This window comes from Homo sapiens, chromosome X (genome assembly GCF_000001405.40).
Source record: "Homo sapiens chromosome X, GRCh38.p14 Primary Assembly".
NCBI lineage: Eukaryota > Metazoa > Chordata > Mammalia > Primates > Hominidae > Homo > Homo sapiens.
The window spans coordinates 18,548,846-18,570,355 of record NC_000023.11 but is presented as its reverse complement, the minus strand read 5'-3'; the positions used below and the strand labels follow the sequence as shown (position 1 = coordinate 18,570,355).

At 37.9% G+C, this 21,510-nt stretch overlaps 1 protein-coding gene and 1 pseudogene across 3 annotated transcripts in view, besides 1 other annotated feature; one reads left to right on the top strand and one right to left on the bottom strand.

Moving 5' to 3' along the window:
- The window catches only part of CDKL5 (cyclin dependent kinase like 5), a 228,022-nt gene that overhangs the window by 83,274 nt on the left and 123,238 nt on the right, over nt 1-21,510 (bottom strand). For all 3 annotated transcript variants that reach the window (NM_003159.3, NM_001323289.2, NM_001037343.2), the window contains one exon: nt 5,834-5,879. In NM_003159.3, coding sequence (NP_003150.1) covers nt 5,834-5,879 — 46 coding nt within the window. The remainder of the gene's footprint in view (nt 1-5,833; nt 5,880-21,510) is intronic.
- Nucleotides 4,105-4,667: an enhancer, noted in NCBI's record as "OCT4-NANOG hESC enhancer chrX:18583809-18584371 (GRCh37/hg19 assembly coordinates)". NCBI's record gives its function as "activates a minimal SCP1, AML or CMV promoter by ChIP-STARR-seq in primed H9 embryonic stem cells {active_cell/tissue: H9 hESC(primed)}" and the evidence as "EXISTENCE:reporter gene assay evidence [ECO:0000049][PMID:30033119]".
- LOC124905289 (uncharacterized) lies at nt 13,407-13,546 on the top strand (annotated as a pseudogene).

Below are 21,510 nucleotides of genomic sequence, written 5' to 3'. Positions count from 1 at the left end.
GATGCAAAATGATCACCAAATCCTAGAAGAATCCCTGAAGTCTGAAGGAGGTCCATGTTGAACATGAAAAGGAAGTGTGGTAAAATCATGACTAGCCAGAATGCTCAAGCTCAGTTAATCAAATTATTTGTTTAATCAAGGGTTGGACTTTTTGTTTCAAGGCCTCTTTCACACAGAAATCAGGCTCTTGAATTTAAGGACTCCAGATTACGAACTCTGGTTTTGTACCATTATATAAAATAAGAGACCAGAGTACTCCTGATCCAGAGATCAGTATAGAGCTTTCCAGTGTCTGGGTAAACAGAAGAATAAAATAAATTAGAAGACAGAACAGATGATCAATTAAATGTTTTCTAATAATTAAGAAGAATATGTCCATTCCAAGAGGAAAATAGTTCTCTATAGAAAACATTCAGCAGAATACGAAATGCAAGTAATTTTATTTTATATAAAAGCAGAGACACAACCTAAGTTTCATCTTAAATGTAGACTAGTGTATAGCTCCCTGGAGTCAGCCTCCTTGCCATGCACAGAGGCCCAGTGACAAGCAGAGAGGCTCTCCCCTCACTCCATCACCTTACATTTAAGGAAAGATGGAAAAGTCTAAAGAAGCAAAAAGAAGGTCCAAATGTATGTCAAAAATAAATTCTAGACAATAGGTTTTCCTAAAGTAAAGGCTGGACAGACAATATTTTGAATTCTTGCTGGTCCAAAGCTATATAATCTAAATCAGCGCTCTTGGGTTATTTAATAAATTGAGGACAGCAGACACTTGTACTTGTCTTGACAAAACAACAGTGATACATTATCATCTGAACATCAAATCTCACTGTAGAAGATGGGAGTCATAGAAAGGGTAGAAGAACTGGACTAAATTTATAATTTATACATAGTCTGAAAAGTACCTTTTAACTAAATAATCTCTAGTATCTTTATGATCTATGGTCATTTTTTCCCTTCTCAGAAAATCCAAATAATGAGCAGAACTATTACAATGAGCAGAACGAATACAATGGAGACTTCTGGTTGGTCAGGTGTTTACTAGATAAAATTTCTCTGCAGGAACTTAATAGCCAAACTTATAATACCATCATTTAGGGTTATCTTAAAGAACTCATTATCACAGACTCCAAATTTATGAAGGGTCAACAAACAGAAGTCATCAAAACAAGAAAAAATTAACTAATGAAGTAAGCTCAGACAAAATTTTTCATTACTCAAACATTCTTCCTTTTTAATAGGAGTCTATATCCCCAAGTCAGGGTGTCAAAGTCTTTCAGAGAGAATCACAGGCAAAGACACTGATAAATTGTCTGATAGAATTGTATCTGCTAACAACTAGAAAATAAAAACCTCGAAAAGGCAAGGCTTGGTGGCTCATGCCTGTAATCGCAGCATTTTGGGAGGCTGAGGCAGGAGGATCTCTTGATCCCAGGAGTTTGAGACCAGCCTGAGCAACATAGCGAGACCTTGCCTCTACAAAAAATGAAAAAATTAGCTGGGAGTGGTGGTGCGCACCTGTAGTCCCAGCTACTTTGGGAGGCTGAGACAGGAAGACTGCTTGAGCCCAGGAGTTCAAGGCTGCACTGAGCCATGACCATGCTACTGTACTCTACCCTGGGATACAAAGCAAGACCCTGTCACACACACACAGCCTGAAAAAGAAGACACATAGACAGGAATAAAAAAAGAAGAAGAAGAAGAAGAGAAAACTGACAAAGCTTTTTGTATATTTCTTAATGACCCTCTTTACTATAGAAGCTATTCATTGGCCTAGCCTACAATTTTACTGTAAAAACTGTTCCTCCTCCCAAAAAGGTTAACACTTCATTCTTTCTTGAAATAGCATATTAGTTACTACTATAACCTAACTTGTGTTAACTATAAACTTATTTTCATAATTTTAGTTTCATTTTATCCACTTAAAGTCCCAAAATAAACTTTTATTTACTATGAAATTTTGATTCCCATTTTAAATAGTGATCTATCATCCTGGGATAATAAAGACTTCTTGAACTAAATAGTAGTCTAACAAAATATAGTTTCACAAACATTTTTTATAAATTTGTGAATATATATGAATTTAACAAGAAAGTAGGACATTAGCATAATCTTTTAAAGCTACCAGAAATTAACATATATTCTCACAAAATATTCCGTGATATCAGTGAGAGAATAGATGGTCCCGACTTACAATGGTTTGACTTCGATTTTTTGACTTTATAATGGCATGAAAGCCATATGCGTTCATGAGAAACCATACTTTGAATACCCATAAAATCATTCTGGTTTTCACTTTCACTACAGTATTCAATAAATTACATGAGATATTCAACACCTTACTATAAAATAGGCTTTGTTATATGATTTTGCCCAACTATAGGCTAACATAAGTGTTCTGAGCATGTTTAAAGGAGGCTAGGCTAAAGCTATGATGTGTGGTAAGTTGGGTGTAGTAAAGCCTTTTTTTGGAGACAGAGTCTCACTCTGTTGCCTAGGCTGGAGTGCAGTGGCATGATCACGGCTCACTGCAGCCTCAACCTTCTGGGCTCAAGCGAGCCTCCTACATCAGCCTACTGAGTAGCTAGGATTACAGGCACACACCACCATGCCTGGCTAATTTTTTTAAAAATTTTTTGTAGAAACAGGGTCTCGCCATGTTGCCCAGGCTGGTCTCAAACTCCTGGCTCAAGCAATCCTCCTGCCTCGGCTTCCCAAAGTGCTGGGATTACAAGTGTGAGCCACCACACCCAGCCAAAGCATTTTGTACGTAACAATTTTTTCCACTTATGATGGGTTACTGGGATGTGGCCTCATCACAAGTCAAGGAGCATCTGCACTGGATTACCTTGAACATGGCTCAGACCAAGTGCAGATCCTATTTCAGTTAACAATATTTTTACAGGATTATTTCGTTATCTTCACTAAGACTTTTAAACATTAGATCTAGATAATCACTGCCATAATATCAAATGAATATTTCAAGAATAACTAATAAAGGGGATTAATGAGAGCTACATGACAATGAGGGCAATATTATCACGACACTGTTTTTTATTATAATTGGCTAAAATTTAATAAACTGATTGAGAATTAAATGGTTTACCCAGGGGTTGAATAGACATCCTTACCTGAATGAGACTATCTATATACACTTCACACTCCAAAAGAGTTGTTCACCAAACATGTACCCTTTTTTCCATTAAGCAAGACACTACTCCAGCCAGAGGAAAAGGGTAAAGACAGAAAAAAGAGAGTACTAGTATCTCCCTGGGAGAAATGTAAACAGTAGGTAAGTGGGCCAGACTGGAATGAAAAAGTTTATGAATAATTGGTTATGTTTTTGGGTTCTAGCACAGAAATGTTTTGGAAGTATCCCTCTAGAAGTATGTGTAGGTGGTACGTAGGTGTCATTGACAAGGTGGGGTGGGTGATAAGGCTGCATGCCTCTGAGGGATGGTGAGTGATAAGGGTCTGGCAGAGATGAGGGCAGAGCAGATTAATGTTTTGTTGGTTCAATAAAATAAGGGCAGATCAAATGTCTTCCACGTCTAGACTATTCATGAACTCCCAATACCACGTCCAGAAACAGTTTCTCTCACCTCAAAATGATCCAAGTTCCATGTCTCCATTCAGGCAATAACTGTTTTCTACTGTGTTTTATTGTTATTTATTTGCAGGTCTTAATTCTCCTAATAGGTCATATGCTTCTTGAAAGTATCCACACCTCAACTCTTACAGCACTTCACTCAGTGCTCAATGAATTTCAACGGATACACTAGATTTCCACTCTAAAGGTATCATTAACACAGGTAAAAATATATAATTGAAGCTAAGAATTGGTATGCACAAGACAGAGATTATAAAGAACATGGTATTTACTTAAAAAGAAAGTAATGGGGCTGGACAAGGTGGCTCACGCCTGTAATCCCAGTACTTTGGGAGGCCAAGGCAGGCGGATCACTTTGAGCTCAGCAGTTTGAGACCAGCCTGGGCAACATGGCGAAACCCTGTCTCTACAAATAAAATACAAAAAATTAGCTGGGCATGGTGGCGCACACCTGTAATCCCAGCTACTCAGGAGGCTGTGGCTGTAGAATCACTTGAGCCCGGGGAGTGGAGGTTGCAGTGAGCCAAGATTGCGCCACTGCACTCCAGCCTGGGTGACAGTGTGAGACCCTGTCTCATAAACAAAAAAAGGTGGCATACATGGCCTAGATTGTACTTTTTACAAAATTTGATGACAGTTATTATTTTTGGTGGTAACTGATGCTTGCCAATATGCCCTGAAAGATGAATGCACAGCCAGAAGCCTTTACATGCATGCGAAGGTTGTGCTTTGATCTACTGTTGCAACCATTCTTTTTAGGAAATCACCATTTGTCTCTCAGCCACCTGCTGACCCAAAGTCACTGCTCAAAGAGCTCATTTCCAATGGTATCACAGTGGGATAGCCTGGAGCTACTGCTTCCTGCTAGACCACAAATATCCCATTTGAAGCAAGATTTTTTTGTCCCCCCAGAACAAGCAAAAAGTTCTTTTTTACCTTCCACTTTTTACCTTCCCTTTAAGCCTGCCCATACAATGACTGCTAAAGTTCCCAGCTGATATGCATGTGTTTCATATAACTAGCACATCAGAGATGGATTACATCAAATACTACTACATCTATCCTGGAGCAAGTCCCTTTTTGTTATTTAATGTTTGCTAAGTCTTTGAGGTGAGGGTGATGAAACTGTTCATAAATATAGAGGCTGGTGTCTTACATCACTTAGGGGATGTGTGCTGATGAAGGTAAGCTATGACTGCTATTTCCACACTTCTAATTAGATATGAAGATTGATGCTGTGTTGGTACTTCTTACTCTTAGACCATAGTTTTTCAAATAGCAGGCTCTGACTTACTAGTAGTGAAATCAATCCATTTGATGTCACAATAGGCATTTACATGAACAGGAAAGAACAGAAAGTAGAGAGCTTCACATTCATAAGATGAAGTTCGTGACATTTTTGCTTCATTTACATATAGTGTTACATATGTGTGCGGACACTGGGTTAGGATATGAAATATATTTCTACTGTGGGTCTCAGTCCAAAAAGTCTGAAAAAAATGTTGTCTAGAGCACCTTAAAGGCCATACCTATTTTTGTTATCAGTTTCTCTATTTGGCTATCTTTGGATGGCCAACAGTCTAGATTTTAAAACTAATGAACTACTGAAATGCATTATTTTAAACTTTCTTGCCCAGCATGGGGTAATTTTACAACTCTGTCTGAAATGGTCTGGATGTGATGAAGGCCCCTAAGCATAGTATTTCTTCTTAAAAAGCTTTTATTCTCTCAATGCATTATTCTAAATATAAAATCAATCCCTCAATATATCCTTGTATTTCTAACTCTGACTAGGAGCTGGAGATCACCGTAACCAATACTGAAATCTTTCATGTAGTACTTGCTATTTATGTGGACCCACAGAAGTATTTACTTGAAGCCAGTTTTTTTATTTTAATAATATTTAGAAACAGCATAAACAACATGCCTTCTAACCAGCCTTTGGAGCAAGATTTCCAATGCTGCTTGCAACCTTAAAATAAAAAGATGAATTTTCTAATATCATGAGATTTGAAAAGATTCACATAAAAGGAACTAAATGTTTGAAAGCAAAGCATAAGAAATAAGCTATATTCACTTTCTGAGATTGTGACTTCAAAATATCAGGAATAGACAGTGTCTGACCAGCTAGATCCCACTTCTTCCACACTCTATGTATAAAAACTTTATACAGAAGGAAAAATACATATATACAGATATATATATATATATATATATATCTACCTTCACTGTCCTTGAATTTCTTGATCGCCACAATTTCATGTGTTTCCTGCAAGGGAAAAGAAGCAGAAGGAAAGTCATTCTCCAGTGTTTTTCCGACTGGGGATTCCAGTTGCCTGGGGGTATATTCTGGGACAGAGTAGCAAGAAGCCAGAGTGTTAAAAATATATCATCTTCCTCTCCCCCGCCACCTCTCATTTCTTGGTTCCAAAATCTCTTTCTTATCACCCCACAAACATTGTCAAGGAAGGGAAAGGAGAAAGGGAGAGGGTGTGGAGCAAAGAGCAGATATGGTGACAGAATATGCGTAACTCATAAATCATTAGTGTCAATGTCTTGAGGATACTCAAAAGTGCCAGGATGAGTGTCAGACTGTCATCTGTACTGCCCTCTGAAGTCCAGAGACACATTTTAATTGGCCTTCTAAGACCAAGAAAGGGCCTCTCCAATACACAGTAGTTGCTGGTAGCAGAATGCTAACAAGCATATCTAATTTTCACCAGCTCGCCCCTATTGATGGCCACTGCAAATCCAAAGTGAGATAAACATTCCATCACCAAATACCAATCATCACCTTCGTCCTGCCCTTATCTCTTCTGAACAGAAGAAATAACAGAATTCTGCTTTAAAAGAAAATATGAAAATCTTTTTTGTTGTTTTTGGTTGGGAGGAAAGAAAACAAGGGCTGGAAAGGAAATGGAAATGCTAAGAACTAAGTACCACTAAACTAAACAATTTTTATTCAATTCTGGTCTATAAAAGGAATAAAAAAGCTTTTGGCAAAATAATTAATACAAATTCTTCAAAGCCAACATGTCATATAAAAGCCTTCTGAATGACTCAGGCCTGTTCTTTTTTACTTTAAGTGGGGACACTTTCAGATCAAATCTTTTAATATTTAATAAAACGTTGTCCCTGCATCAAAACAAAAACTTTAAAATTAAACACAATACCAGGCAAGTGCTATAAATTATGGAGGAAAAAGATACTTCTTAAAGGTACTGTGTTTTTGTTTTTAATGAAGGAACAGGATTGTAGGGTAGAGACAACTTACTTGTATGTATAGGGTACAACTTATTTGTACATTAATGGATCTTCTGACTTAAAGAAACTCCTTCTTCCAGGTATTTTATTATTGGGAAGGAAGAACTGCCAATTTTAAGTAATGCAGGAGATTATCAGCTGGAATATTATCCCACGTAGTACAAAGGTGACTCTTTCATGTATGCTACTCTCCCATAATACATTGATATCATGTTCTTACCCTGCTCCTTTTCAAATGGCTCTAGCTAGCAATCTACCTACAGCATAACTGAAAGGACAGACCATATCAGGAACCTCCTCTTGCTTTTCTCACAGAACAAAGATGTAGCTTCCAGGAATAGAGAAAAACTGCGCACATCTCAAATGAATATTGTTCCAGGTAGTGTTCCATCTTATATTCTATTCTAACTGAAAGACTCCCACATACATTTCTTTCATTGCATCCTAAGCGTTAAAACTTTGTCTGATTTTATAAAAGATCTTACTCAGTTCAAAACTGTCCACTGATATGACTACAAATTTAAATTTGTAACTGGCACATTTATACCACCTTGAATAAATTCATTAGTTATTTTTCTCTGGCATCTCATAAACACAATTTACTGTATAAAGCAGATGGCTAATGGGGGTCAAATAAAATGTGTATTCTTTTATTTATCCTTTCAAGAATACCATGAAAATCCTCTCTCCTCAAAACTCACTTTCTCTGCCTCCCCCGATATGGTTTATGTATTTACTTAAAGAATGAAATCGAACAGATGAAGTTTTCTACATTAAACCAATTCAGTGTTTAGTGAAAAACACATGCAATTAAGAGAAGATACTGGAAAGAATTTAACATTTCACATGTATTCAAACTGCTTATAAAAATAATATAAACTCATTACAGAAAACACAAAAAGAATACAAAGGGTACAAAAAGGATATAGAGAAGACATTTACAAAATTAACCCTTGTTAATATTTTGGTATATTTTCTTCCAGTAAATTTTTCTCAAATGGTAGTAGTAATATTGGACATCTTATTGTATGTTGTTTTTATTTCACTTGATATTATGTAAGCAACATTTCAAGCTGTTATTTTTAAAACCACCATTTTTCATGGATGGCTATTTAACAAGTCTATTAATGAACATACTTCAACATCTGCATCTTTATTTCCACAGAGTAAATTCTATAAGTGATATAATTGGTTCAAAGGGTATGAATGTTAAAGGCTCCCAATATATAATGACAAACTGACATCCAAAAAAAGTCATGTCACAGTTCCCTTCAGCAGTGTATAAGAATATTTACTCTACACCCACTGCCAAAGCAAAATAAAATCATTTAAAAAAACCTCTCTGGCATTCAATGAGATTAGAGAAGCTTTCTTTTAATAAGTGAAATCGGGTCCACTAGGGTTAATATTTTCTTGTTGATTCATGGATGAGAACTTGTTGACAAATTCTGTTACAAATCTTTTCCCCAGATTGTTGTGATCACTAGAGTTTTGTTGTTGTTGAATATAAATTATTACATAGTCAAGTTTACTGATATAGGCCTTTGTAATTATGTCCATTACTTTTGTGCTCAAAGTCCTTACTTAGCCTGAGCATGGTTAATATTCATCTGCATTTATGTATCTTGATATTTTAATTATTTCTTTCCTTAAATCTTTATTCACTTGTAATTTATTTTAATATATGACATGTTGAGGGAATCCAGATTTAATATAATTTCTAAACACTAAATCAATTTTCCCAATACCCTTTACCAGAAATTTTTAGTTGTTACATCTTAGCATCCTCACATATAGATACTAGATGTGCTTTCAGAGATTTCTAGTGGACTCTAGCCTAGTCTAGTATAGGCTACTGATTTGTTCTTATGTCAGAACCAGTTTTTAAAGTATTGTGACCTTAAACTGTTTTAAATTAATCTGAGGTTATTGACACTGATTCTTCTTATACCATTTTGTTAAATATATTTATTTTTGAGAGGAGGGTTTGACTGTTGAATTTAATTTGTAATTATAGATACATGAGCTATAATTTTTTTTTTTTTTACATATTCAGTTTCCTTCACTGTTTACCACCAGTCCTTTTCTTGTATGGTTTATACATATTTGAGTGATTGATTTGCATTCATGTTTAGCTCAGCCAGAGCACATCTTTGAAAGGTTTTCTGACAAAGTGTCCTATTTTTCAAGTCTTTGCATTTTTGAACATCTTCACGTATACATGGCAACTTGATAGGCACAGAATTCTTGGGAAGGCAACCTTTTATTCTTCAGAGTCACTGGAAGCTTAAGTGCACCATAAAGCCCTGGAAAATGCCATTCACATCACAGACACCAGAGTCTGTATGCTTATTAAAGCAACTTAATGCAGGTAGGAATAAAGTGTCTTCTTGTAACAAAATCTATATACTAGGATATTTTTCCAAGAAGAAGAAAATTAAGGGTCTAAAAAGAAGGGCTGCCATTTTCTAACATAAAGAAATTATAATACTATCACATAAGGCATCAAATGGGGAACAATGACCTGACAGTCTCTGGTATTTGTAGTAGAAAAGAAGTATGAGGCCTATTTGGATTTTGTTCCAATATAGATCACTTCTTTTTTTCTGCCTAAATACTGTTAGGACTTTTCCTTTTCTTTGAAATAAAAATTTTAAATTATTTGGAATATATTTAGAGGAGTGTGTGTGTGTGTGTGTGTGTGTATTTTTTGAATCAATAATACCTGGAAATCAATGAAATTAGGAAAGTCTTCTTATAGCAACCTTAAACGTTGTTCCTACTCCTATTTTTCTATTATTTTCCACCACAAACCTTACAACTTCTAGGTTGGATCTTTCATAATTGCTTAGTCTTGTACTAAGTTTTTGTACTTAGTATGCAAAGTTCACAATTGCATCATCAGCACCTAGAATAGCAGGCACATAGTAGGTGTTCAATAAACATTTAGTAAACGAACATTAATCAGTTCGAAAGTGCTAAACAATTTTGTTTTATCCATTTTAGGCTTCTTTCACTTGTCCTTATCTCAGCCAACTTCTGCATTTTTTGCCTTGTTTTAGCTTATTCACTCTCTGTAGAGGTCATATCTTCCTGGCTTTCTTTTGGGAGACTAAGCAGATGCCTTAACTTTATTGGTTTGTTAGAAAAGGTCATTTTTGGCAATTGTTAAAAAGTCAGGAAACAACAGGTGCTGGAGAGGATGTGGAGAAATAGGAACACTTTTACACTGTTGGTGGGACTGTAAACTAGTTCAACCATTGTGGAAGTTAGTGTGGCGATTCCTTAGGGATCTAGAACTAGAAATACCATTTGACCCAGCCATCCATTACTGGGCATATACCCAAAGGACTATAAATCATGCTGCTATAAAGACACATGCACACGTATGTTTATTGCAGCACTATTCACAATAGCAAAGACTTGGAACCAACCCAAATGTCCAACAATGATAGACTGGATTAAGAAAATGTGGCACATATACACCATGGAATACTATGCAGCCATAAAAAAGGATGAGTTCATGTCCTTTGTAGGGACATGGATGAAGCTGGAAACCATCATTCTCAGCAAACTATCGCAAGAACAAAAAACCAAACACCGCATGTTCTCACTCATAGATGGGAACTGAACAATGAGAACACATGGACACAGGAAGGGGAACATCACACTCTGGGGACTGTTGTGGGGTGGGGGGAGGGGGAAGGGATAGCATTAGGAGATATACCTAATGCTAAATGACGAGTTAATGGGCGCAGCACACCAGCATGGCACATGTATACATATGTAACTAACCTGCACATTGTGCACATGTACCCTAAAACTTAAAGTATAATAATAATAAAAAGAAAAAAAAAAAAAAAGAAAAGGTCATTTTCAGAACCATGTGTTGCTTGTAAATCTTCACAGCCATGTTTTCTCTTCCCATATCTTTTCAGTGTATTCTCTGCTCCACCCTTTAAAACTCATCCTTACGGCCAGGTGCAGTGGCTCATGCCTGTAATCCCAGCACTCTGAGAGGCCGAGGTGGGCGGATCACGAGGTCATGAGTTCAAGACCAGCCTGGCCAACATGGTGAAACCCCATCTCTACTACAAATACAAAAATTAGCCCGGCATGGTGGCGCGTGCCTATAATCCCAGCTACTTGGGAGGCTGAGGCAGGAGAATCGCTGGAACCCAGGAGGCAGAGGTTGCAGTGAGCCGAGACCACGCCACTGCACTCCAGCGTGATGACAGAGCGAGACTCCATCTCCCAAAAAACAAAACAAAACAAAACAAAAAACCTCATCCTTACTAAGATGGAAAGAGATCCACCAGGACTGGCATTTGGCCTCAACTTGAACTTCAAATATGAACTGATGCACCCCAGCCTGATTTTAGAACCTGGCTTGCTAGCACACATCCTTCTCATTGGGGTTGGCTGGTCTGAGACTAAACTGCCTGGGCAGGGTTCTCTGAGTAAGCCAGAAGAGCACATGCCATTCATTAGCTGTTTACCTCGTGGCATTCTGGAGACCACATTTCCAAGCACAGCCTGTTCCCTTCCCTTTACCTTCACCACACTTTGCCACGGGGACTCCGAATCCTAGGATGGTACATGCTTTTTCCAATCCTTCTTTGCTTCTTCCCTTACTATATTTAGGACATTTTAGTCTCTGCAAAGATCTGGAAATGCAGATGTTAATGCAGGCTAGTAGGGGAGTGAGAACTCCAGCTCTAGCAGTGTCAGATTATAGTTAACCTCAGTGAGATGGTTGCTTATTTTTCAGTTCCTGTGAGCATGGGTCCAAGGCATTTCCTACTCCCTTTGGATATCTGGCCTGATTTGGGTTCACAAAGTAGGATGAACAGCATGATGTTCAAGACTATGTTTTCAACCCAGTCCTGCTAATAAAATTAATTCTCCCTGGACTTTGCTAGCAATCTTCGATGTTTAGTTTCTTAATCTGCAGAACTTCATGGGTATTTAACATCTTCGTGGGTATTTAATGGAGAGGTAGGAAGTAACACGCCAAGCTTTATTACTTATTCTACCACCACCCTGAGATGCGATATATAATAAAGGTGTAGACAAAGAGAAAAACATACAAAAAATAACTCTGAAAAACTTGTTTTGAATTTAATTTATTCATAAAAGCATACCATTGCCCCCACAACGTCTGCAACAGAATGTCACCAGCTGTAGTTAGCAAGATAGGCATAGTTTGTTACTTGTTTCAGTGTCTTTATTTAAAATATGAAGTATTTAAAAGCCGACATCTTAAGCAATAAACTAAGAATGTGATCAAATATATCAGTAATTTATTAATGATAATTCCATGCCTCACCCTTAATTCTACCTTAAAATTAGAATTGTATTATGTACTTTGGAACACAAACAGAGAGACTAGGTAACTTTAGATAAAGGTTCCTGAATTGTACTACTGTCTCCATGAGTAAACAAACTATATCAAGGCATTTCACATTTCCCAGAATAAATTTCCCCAGCTGGAAAAAAAAAATCAGAAAGAGAATAAAAAATAAATGTTATGAGTACTAACAAATACAAATATCTGGAGAGCCTACAGTTCCTTCAATATTCTCAAGATCTCTACCCCATAAAAATCAAGCCTCAATCACTAGAGAATCATACTAGACAGACTTATAATCATCAACTCACTTGCGTTGCTGACTGTCTAAAGCTCTGGGTCATTGTTTTATTCCCAGTATTAATTGTGCCTTACTTAAGATTCTGGCAAAGCAACTAATTGGTATTAACAGCCATACAATTTACTAAGTCATTTTAAAATGCAGTTATATAACTTAATTATGCTCTGGAACAGTGAAGTCTTTAAACTGATCATATACTGTATAAGGAAGTCGCAGGAGTCATTATTTTTCAAATGTTTTGCTAAGTTAAAATATCCAACAGGTATCATGAAACAGAACAGAATAAAATACTCTTTTATTCTACTATTCACGGATTAAGCCATTTCAAAAGGTTATAACAGTTATTCCTCAGTATCTACGAGGATATAGAGGGGGCCACTGGTTCCAGGATCCCCGAGGATACCAAAATCCATGGATGCTCATCCCTGACATAAAATGGCACAGTATTTGCATATAACCTATGCACATTCGCCTATATACTTTAAATTATCTTTTGATTACTTATACTACCTAGTACAATGTAAATGCCATGCAAATAAATAGTTGTAATACTGTTATTTTTATTTGTATTTTTTATTGTTGTATTTTTAGTTGTTTTTGTTTGTCTGCTTTTCTGAATATTTTCGATCCTCAGATGGTTGAATTCATCGATGTGGAACCTGCTGATACGGAGGGCCATCTATAGTCTACAATTCATTTTCTAATTGCTCTCTGAGGAAGTGCTTTCTTGGGAGAAATTCTTCATTTCATCATCCAAATAGCAGGGAATATAACTTCATAACTAAAGTATTTTAAATATTTCTGTTCACGTTTTATTTGCAAATATCCTGTCTGCTCCCTGAGCATAAGTAAAACCCTACAAACACAGAAATTACTACTTTATCGCTTCTCAGCCTTCTGGCTAAGATCAAGTGAAACTGATACTTTTTTTTTTTTTTTTTTTTTTTTGAGACGGAGTCTTGCTCTGTTTCCCAGGCTGGAGTGCAGTGGCGTGGTCTCGGCTCACTTCAACCTCCGCCTCCCAGATTCAAGCGATTCTCCTGCCTCAGTCTTCTGAGTAGTTGGGATTGTAGGCACACGCCACCACGCCCAGCTAATTTCTGTATTTTTAGTAGAGACAGGGTTTCGCCATGTTGGCCAGGCTGGGAAACTACTACTTTATAGACCAGTATGGTCCCAGAAAAAGTAAGCTTCATTTTAAGTTATTGTTTTTAAGTACTCTTGCACCAAGCCCCACCCTAAGTGCTTCCCGTGGATTATCTCACTTAATTCTCAAATCATCATTCTGAGGAGATCTCATGCTCATTTTACAGATGAGGATACTGAGTTTTAATGAAGTTCCATAATTTGTCCCATGATCACACAGCTAAGATGTAGCAGAGCTGAGATTTTAAACCCAGGAAGACTGATTCTGAATGCCATTTCTCAACCATAATCATGCTATACTGTCTTTGCAAGCCATGTGTATGTAAATTTTGTTGTAGAAAGTGATTCTGAAACACACACACACACACACATCACTGAAGAGAAATGTTAGCACCAATGAACATTTCAAAATAGTTTTCTAATAATATGTTATAATATTTATACACTGAAAAGTACAGGCAAGTATTTCATTACTTCCATCTTTATCTTTTTTACTGTGTAGAAACCTTCCAAAATAACTTAGTCCAAAAGTATTTATTTTTACATTATAAGTAAAATTATAAAATGGGAGGAAATTCAAGCACAGGATACATTCTATAGCAGGTCAGAGCTAATATGCATTTGCCAAGTACTATAGAAATATAAAATACCATCCATGATATTCAGTGATAAAAGCTAGATTTCTCCAGGAAATTCCTTAGAGATCTTGACTTATATTATTTGTTATTTGAAAACTACCATAGCTTGTCAATACTAAAAGTTAGATTTACTGCTAAATTTCAATACTTCAGACCAAATCACACACACAAAAAATCTATACCAAAGAAAAAGAGCGTTTCAATCAGTCAACTAACAAATGTTTATTGGACCTCTGCTTTATGTAAGGTTTTCTTTTGTATCCTGTGTTTGACATGAGTGAGTAAATGAAGCTGTCTTATATACATAGAAGTCTACAACCTGGTATGTAATAACGCATGACAGTAAGTTAAAAATGCATGACAAAAGCTAAAAAGTATAACAAGTGTTATATGATATGCCACAGGAGTTCAAAAAAGATCATGCAAATATACAGAAAAAAATGTATATCCCCTTCAGATTTAACAGTTGATAATATTTTGGCTTATTTGCTGTGGATCTCCTGCCTTTTGAAATGTAAAATGCCAAAAATAAAACTTCATTCATTCCCATTCCCTCTACCCAGAGGTAATTTCTATCCTGAAGTTGATAGTATCATTCCCACACATTTTTATCACTACGAATGAATCTGCCCATAAATTGTATCGTTTTGTGCACTAAAAATCATGTAACTAGCATATGCTATTGCATGTATCTTTTTTCAAACACTTAAAAAAAATACAATCTGTATCTGACATTAAAAACTAAATCTAGTTCAATAGTTCTCCCTTGGGGGGTGACTGTGCTCCCCCCAAGACATCTGGGGACACTTTCGGTTGTCACATAGGCTGGGGGCGCTACTGGGATCGAGTGAGTAGAGACCAAGAGTGCCACTAAACATCCTACAATGCACGGGACAGTCCCTACAACAGTCCTAGCCCCAAATGTCAAAAGTGCTAAGGGTAAGAAACTCTGCTCGAGTTTATTCATTTTAACCATTTTGTGGTATTTCCGTACAAACATTCCCCCTTAAAAATGTGAGAATGCCATGGCACGTGTATACCTACGTAACAAACCTACGCGTTATGCACATGTACCCCAGAACTTAAAGTATGATAATAAAAAAAAATTTGAGAATGATCACTTGTTGAAGAGATCAGGTAAAGCTTTACTGAAAAGATTAATATGCTATGAAAGAAAATTTTAATTGAAAAAGAAGATTAAAAGATCCATTCTCCAAAAATTATTAAAATTATCACAACACTAAAATGTCTACACTCATTTTTATAAAACAATGATTAGTTTTATAATAACTTTTGTAATACGGTTCCATTAAAATATTATACCGTGAAATGGCCAGGCGCAGTGGCTCATGCCTGTAATCCCAGCACTTTGGGAGGCCGAAGCGGACGGATCACCTGAGGTCAGGAGTTCGAGACCAGCCTGGCCAACATGGCAAAACCTCATCTCTACTAAAAATACAAAAATTAGCCTGGCGTGGTGGTGAGGGCCTGTAATCCCAGCTACTTGGGAGGCTGAGGCAGAAGAATTACTTGAACCCGCAAGGTGGAGGTTGCACTGAGCTGAGATCACGCCACTGTACTCCAGCCTGGGCGACAGAGTGAGACTCTGTCTCACAAAAAAAAAAAAAAAAAGACAGTGAAATATACCAAAAGGTATACTGAAAACATATATCCTTTTTTTTTTTCCTAAAAATTTCAGGAATGGTTTTCATTAGGCCAAAAACAATTTAGCGGAGTCCCACCAAGTCTATACCAATACCTGGCAAAATGAGAACACTTGGACACAGGGAGGGGAACATCACACACCGGGGCCTGTCATGGGATGGGGGGAAGGGGGAGGGATAGCATTAGGAGATATACCTAATGTAAATGACGAGTTAATGGGTACAGCACACCAACATGGCACATGTATACATATGTAACAAACCTGCACATTGTGCACATGTACCCTAGAACTTAAAAGTATAATAGAAAAAAAAAAATATATATATATAAATACCTGGCAAAACTGCCTATTAAGGTTGACATGATGGAGCTATTATTACAGGAAACATTGATGTAAACTCTAACCTGCTCAAAATTAGAATTAAATGGTACGCTAAGAGTACTTTAAGAAAACTCTTATAATTTAGAAAGCATTACAAGAAAAACTGTGTATTTACTTCATGTACCGTTTCTAAAAAGAGGATAGTCTTATGAAAATACTAATACTTTATCAAGAACATGAGACAGCAGGTAGCCAAAAAGGAAGACATGGGAAGTGGGATCTCACAAAGAGACTTTGTACAGATAATGACTGCCTTCCAGGCGGATCACTTGAGGTTAGGAGTTCGAGAACAGCCTGGCCAACATGGTAAAACCCCATCTCTACTAAAAATACAAAAAAATTAGCCCAGCGTGGTAGCACACGCCTGTAGTCCCAGCTACTCGGGAGGCTGAGACGTGAGAATCGCTTGAATCCAGGAGGCGGAGGTTGCAGTGAGCCAAGATCACGCCACTGCACTCCAGCCACCGGGCAGACAGAGTGAGACTCTGTCTCCAAAACACACACACACACACACACACACACACACACACACACGCACACACACACAACTGCCTTCAAGCCAAGTCAGTGATAAATTTCCAACACAACAACTCTGTTTTCTCATTATTTCCAATAAGACATAAAATCTCTTCTACCATCTCTGCGCTGGATCTGCCCTCCATGAATCTTTTATTGAGATGTAAAATGAGAATGTATGAGTGTAAAATATTCAGACAGAATGCCTAACCATTTCTGCATCTTCCCCTACAAAACCTGGGCCTGTCTCCTGTCCCATATATCTCAGTAAACACTAGCCAGAAATTTGGGATCACTGTTGACATCTCCCTTGTCTGCACCACCAAATCCATCCAGTCTATCACTAAGTGCTGTTGGGTTTTGCCTCCTACATTGTTTTCAAATGGGTCCACTGTCCTGTACCTGAATGCTCCTCCTACCCCTGGTCAAGCCTTTGGTACTTTCACCTTCAGTACTGCCACAGCCCTTCTGATATGTTCATCCCCTCAGCAACCAGGTTCTTCCTTGGGAAAGGAAATCTGATTTCAAGCTCCACCATTCCCCTTAAAATTCTCCCTAACTCCACTAACCTGACAACTCCGTCGCAGCTGCTCCACATGGCAGGCCAGGTAGCTCTTCCACCTCCTCTCCCTAGGTCTCCTTTGCTTGCTGAGTCACATCTCTCCTTGCCATGTTCTCTACTGCCTTAGGGTCTATTCCCTTTGTTCTTGCAAGCTTTGCCCTCCCTTGCCCACTCAACCCTCTCTCATCCCCCAGATCCTGGCTCAATCAATCCTCACTTCCTCAGAGGAGCCTTCCCACGGCTCCTCGATGAGATCTGAAGGCCCTGTGGTGTTCTCTCAGCAAGCGCCTCTTCTTTATAACTTGCATTAAAGTTCCACCTTTACAGATTTACATGATCACTTGATCAAGGTCTGACTCTACTACTAGACTGCAAGCTTGTAGTTGAGAAATAAATGCAACTGGTCCAAAATGTGCTCAGCAAAAAAGGAGAACAGCTAGTCCAAACATCTTACTGTATTGTGTTGCCAATGTAAAACATATATCCTGTTGGCCTGGCTCATTCTTCTCTTTGGATATCAGTTACTAATTCTACCATAGCCTAACACTTTTTCCTCCCATAATTTTAAAAGAAAAAGACATTCCTTGGTACATAAGGAAAAACCAACCAGCCAAGAACACAGAATGCAAATATATACATTTTGGGTTTTTTCTTTCTTTCTTTCTTTCTTTTTTTTTTTTTTTTGAGACGGAGTCTCACTCTGTTGCCCAGGCTGGAGTGCAATGGCACAATCTCGGCTCACTGCAACCTCCGCCTCCCAGGTTCAAGCAATTCTCTTGCCTCAGCCTCCTGAGTAGCTGAGATTACAGGCACACGCCACCATGCCCGGCTAATTTTTGTATTTTTAGTAGAGACGGGGTTTCACCATGTTGGCCAGGCTTGTCTCAAACTCCTGACCTTGTGATCCACCCGCCTCGGCCTCCCAAAGTGCTGGGATTACAGTCGTAAGCTGGCCACATTTCGGTTTTTTTAAGGACAGATTCCCTAGGAGACATATTAGATCTGCTTTTCTATGCTTTAGAAAGTTTCGGAAGGGTGTGGTGGCTCACGCCTATAATCTCAGCACTTTTGGAGGCCGAGGCAGGCAAATCGCTTGAGCCCAGGAGTTCAATACTAGCCTGGGCAACATGGTGAAACCCTGTCTCTGCACACACACACACTACAAAAGATTAGCTGGGTGTGGTGGTGCACACCTATAGTCCCAGCTACCTGGGAGGCTGAGGTAGGAGGATCCTTTGGGCCAGGAAGGTTGAGGCTGCAGTGAGCCGAGACGCTGCAACTGTGCTCCAGCCTGAGCAACAGTGAGACTCTGTCTCAAATAATAATAATAATAATAATAATAATAATAATAATAATAATAATGTCAAGGTATCTAGTAAGGCTATGAGACTTGGGGCCACCTTGGATGGCTGATATTTGAGTGCCGCAAATGTGAGAACAAAACCATATTAAAAGCCTTGGACCACTTAATTGATAAATGCAAACAAACCCACATATCCAGAAATCCTTTGTAAGTACTTGTAATATGCTCCATTGTAACTATTATAGTATCAGCCTGAAGGGACGCTGGCTGATAATGCCAAAGAATGAACTAAGAGGGCTAGTTTACACAGAACTATACACTAAAAATGGGTACATCTTATTGTATATAAGTGGGTAATTCAAGATGAATCACTTAAAAATAATTTACCTCATAGTTCCAGGACTAATATAAATTTACTACCCTATGTTCATATTATAGATTCGGTAATTAATAAAATGTTCAAAAAGTAAAATATAGTTATCAAAATGAAAAATGAGACATTCAGAGAACAATTTTCCTTAATCCCTCTGGCAGAAAATACCAACAATTTTCAATGGAAAGAGAGAAAGGTGAACTTTCAAAACAGTCTAGCTCCATACTTATAGATCATATAAAATTTGAGATGCATCTCATTTTTATTTAAAACCCACATCTTCAAACATTATATGTAGATACCCTCAAACCACCTTGTCTACACCAAATTCACACCAAATTGTCTGCAAATGAATGAGAATTTTGAAGACTACATGGCAGTGATGCCTGTCAGACAGCCTTTCAGTTTAGTATTAACCATCACGTCTATACTGCAGTTATTGTGCAATTGTGTTACTATTTCATTTTGTCCTTATTTTATAACACTGAGGCGAGAAAATGAAAATTTCACTTCTAGTGATCAAGTAACTGAGACCAAGATGGCATTAGGCATGCCAACTGCAGGCAATCTAAACCTCAGATAATCATTGGACTTAAAAGCTATGTTCCACTGTGAATGAAGAATACAAAATTTAAATTTAAATGCAGGAAATATATCCTCAAAGACTATCTTGCTGCGGCAGGAACAGTAATTTATAGCTCACTAAATTTAACCCGTGCCAAGAAAATGTAGCTTTTAAATTTTCTGTAACTGTTTTAACCTTGCTTTTCAAGCCCCCACACTTGACTTTAACTTGCATTATATGGTAGTGCAGTCCCTTCTGGTTTATAGTCTTGTTCAGGTAAATGTTAAGTTTTTCCATTTTCTCCCTGCTTCTACCAAGATGGCAGCTGTGGGTATGGATGTGGGTGGGGTTACAGAACTTCACCGTAGTAAGGTAGAGGTTCTCAGGTCTCCAAGACAAGGTTCCTTATACGCGTGGACCCCAGACACTGGCCTGAGGCTGCTGTTGGAGCTCAAGGAGGCTGTAGACTCAGGTGTGCTCTCTTGGCCCAGAGCCCAGGGATCTACCCCAGTTGATCTGTCTCTAATTGGTGCCGAAGACATCTAGACTCCTTAATCTCATTTACACCCAAGACCTAGCTCAATCAGTGTCAGCTACAGCGTGGCTGTCAGCTACAGCGTGGGTATCAGCTTGCCCCTCAACACATCTTTCCCACTGACAGGTTCACTGGCTCTCAACCCAGCTACCTGGAGTGTGAAGTAACTTTGGGATTCCTCAGAAGCCACTCACCAGCTAAAGGAGGCCTGGCAGTCCTCTTTACCTAACCACAGCATGCTACATTTTCTTCTGCTGTGGCTGCTTACATTGTGTTAAAGCAGCCTTGAAAGACTGTTTCTTCCCTGAGTTACAAGAGGGGGATGGGGCATAAGCTTCCTTCACTTTTGGCTTACCTTCAACCTACCCACCCCCTAAACCTTGAATTTCAGTTCCCTAAGGTGATGGGGGCGGGGAATGACAAGAAATATATACCTGACCACCTGCCTGCTCTAACTCTGCCTGTTCTTCCCACATTCCTTTGACACTTGAATGGGCTGTCCTTCATTTCTCCTTTAATACTCAAGGAATTTACCCTACAAAGTGGCATTCATCCTGCTCTCTTTCCTGGGGACATGATAAAAGAAAAGATCAGAAGACAAAAACCAATTTATTGACCAAAGATACATCATCAGGTATTCCAAAAGTATTATCCCTGCTAAATAAAGATTCAAGAATATTGACAGAATAAAAAACAAAGTTTAAAATTATGGACTGATGATCAGCATAAAAATGCATGGTCCAAATGAAGAGAAAAATCTATTGCTCTGTTGAATGAGTGACAGAGCTTGCTAGAGATTCCTTTATCAAGGGAGGGACTGACTGTGCCTTTCTTATGACCAATTGTTTCAGTAAGTTATGTAGAGACCATCGAAGTCAGTATACTTAATTTTTGCAATTATTCATGTATAAACAATGTACAGGTAGTTAACAATAGCATAGCTACTACAGAGCAAGTTGCTCACTGCTTACTCAGAGCCTGAACAAAAGCCAGACCCATGCGTATATACTCATACCTTCTGCTGACGTTAGAGACAGTAGAGCAAAAATGGTAATAAATTAGTGCTCAATAAAAAAATGCTTGATTCTGTTTTGTTTTTATTCATCAACACACTGATGAATTGTGCATGCATGTATATAAAATCTATAAGTCTTGAATTCTGGCAAATACAATATCCTAATTTTACATTTTCTTATAAAATAAGAAAATGAGAATACTAAAATCGCAAATAAAGCCAATGCACCAAGGTTTAATTTTTTCCAATTCATGAGAGATATGGCTGCTTTAGAACAGGCACGAG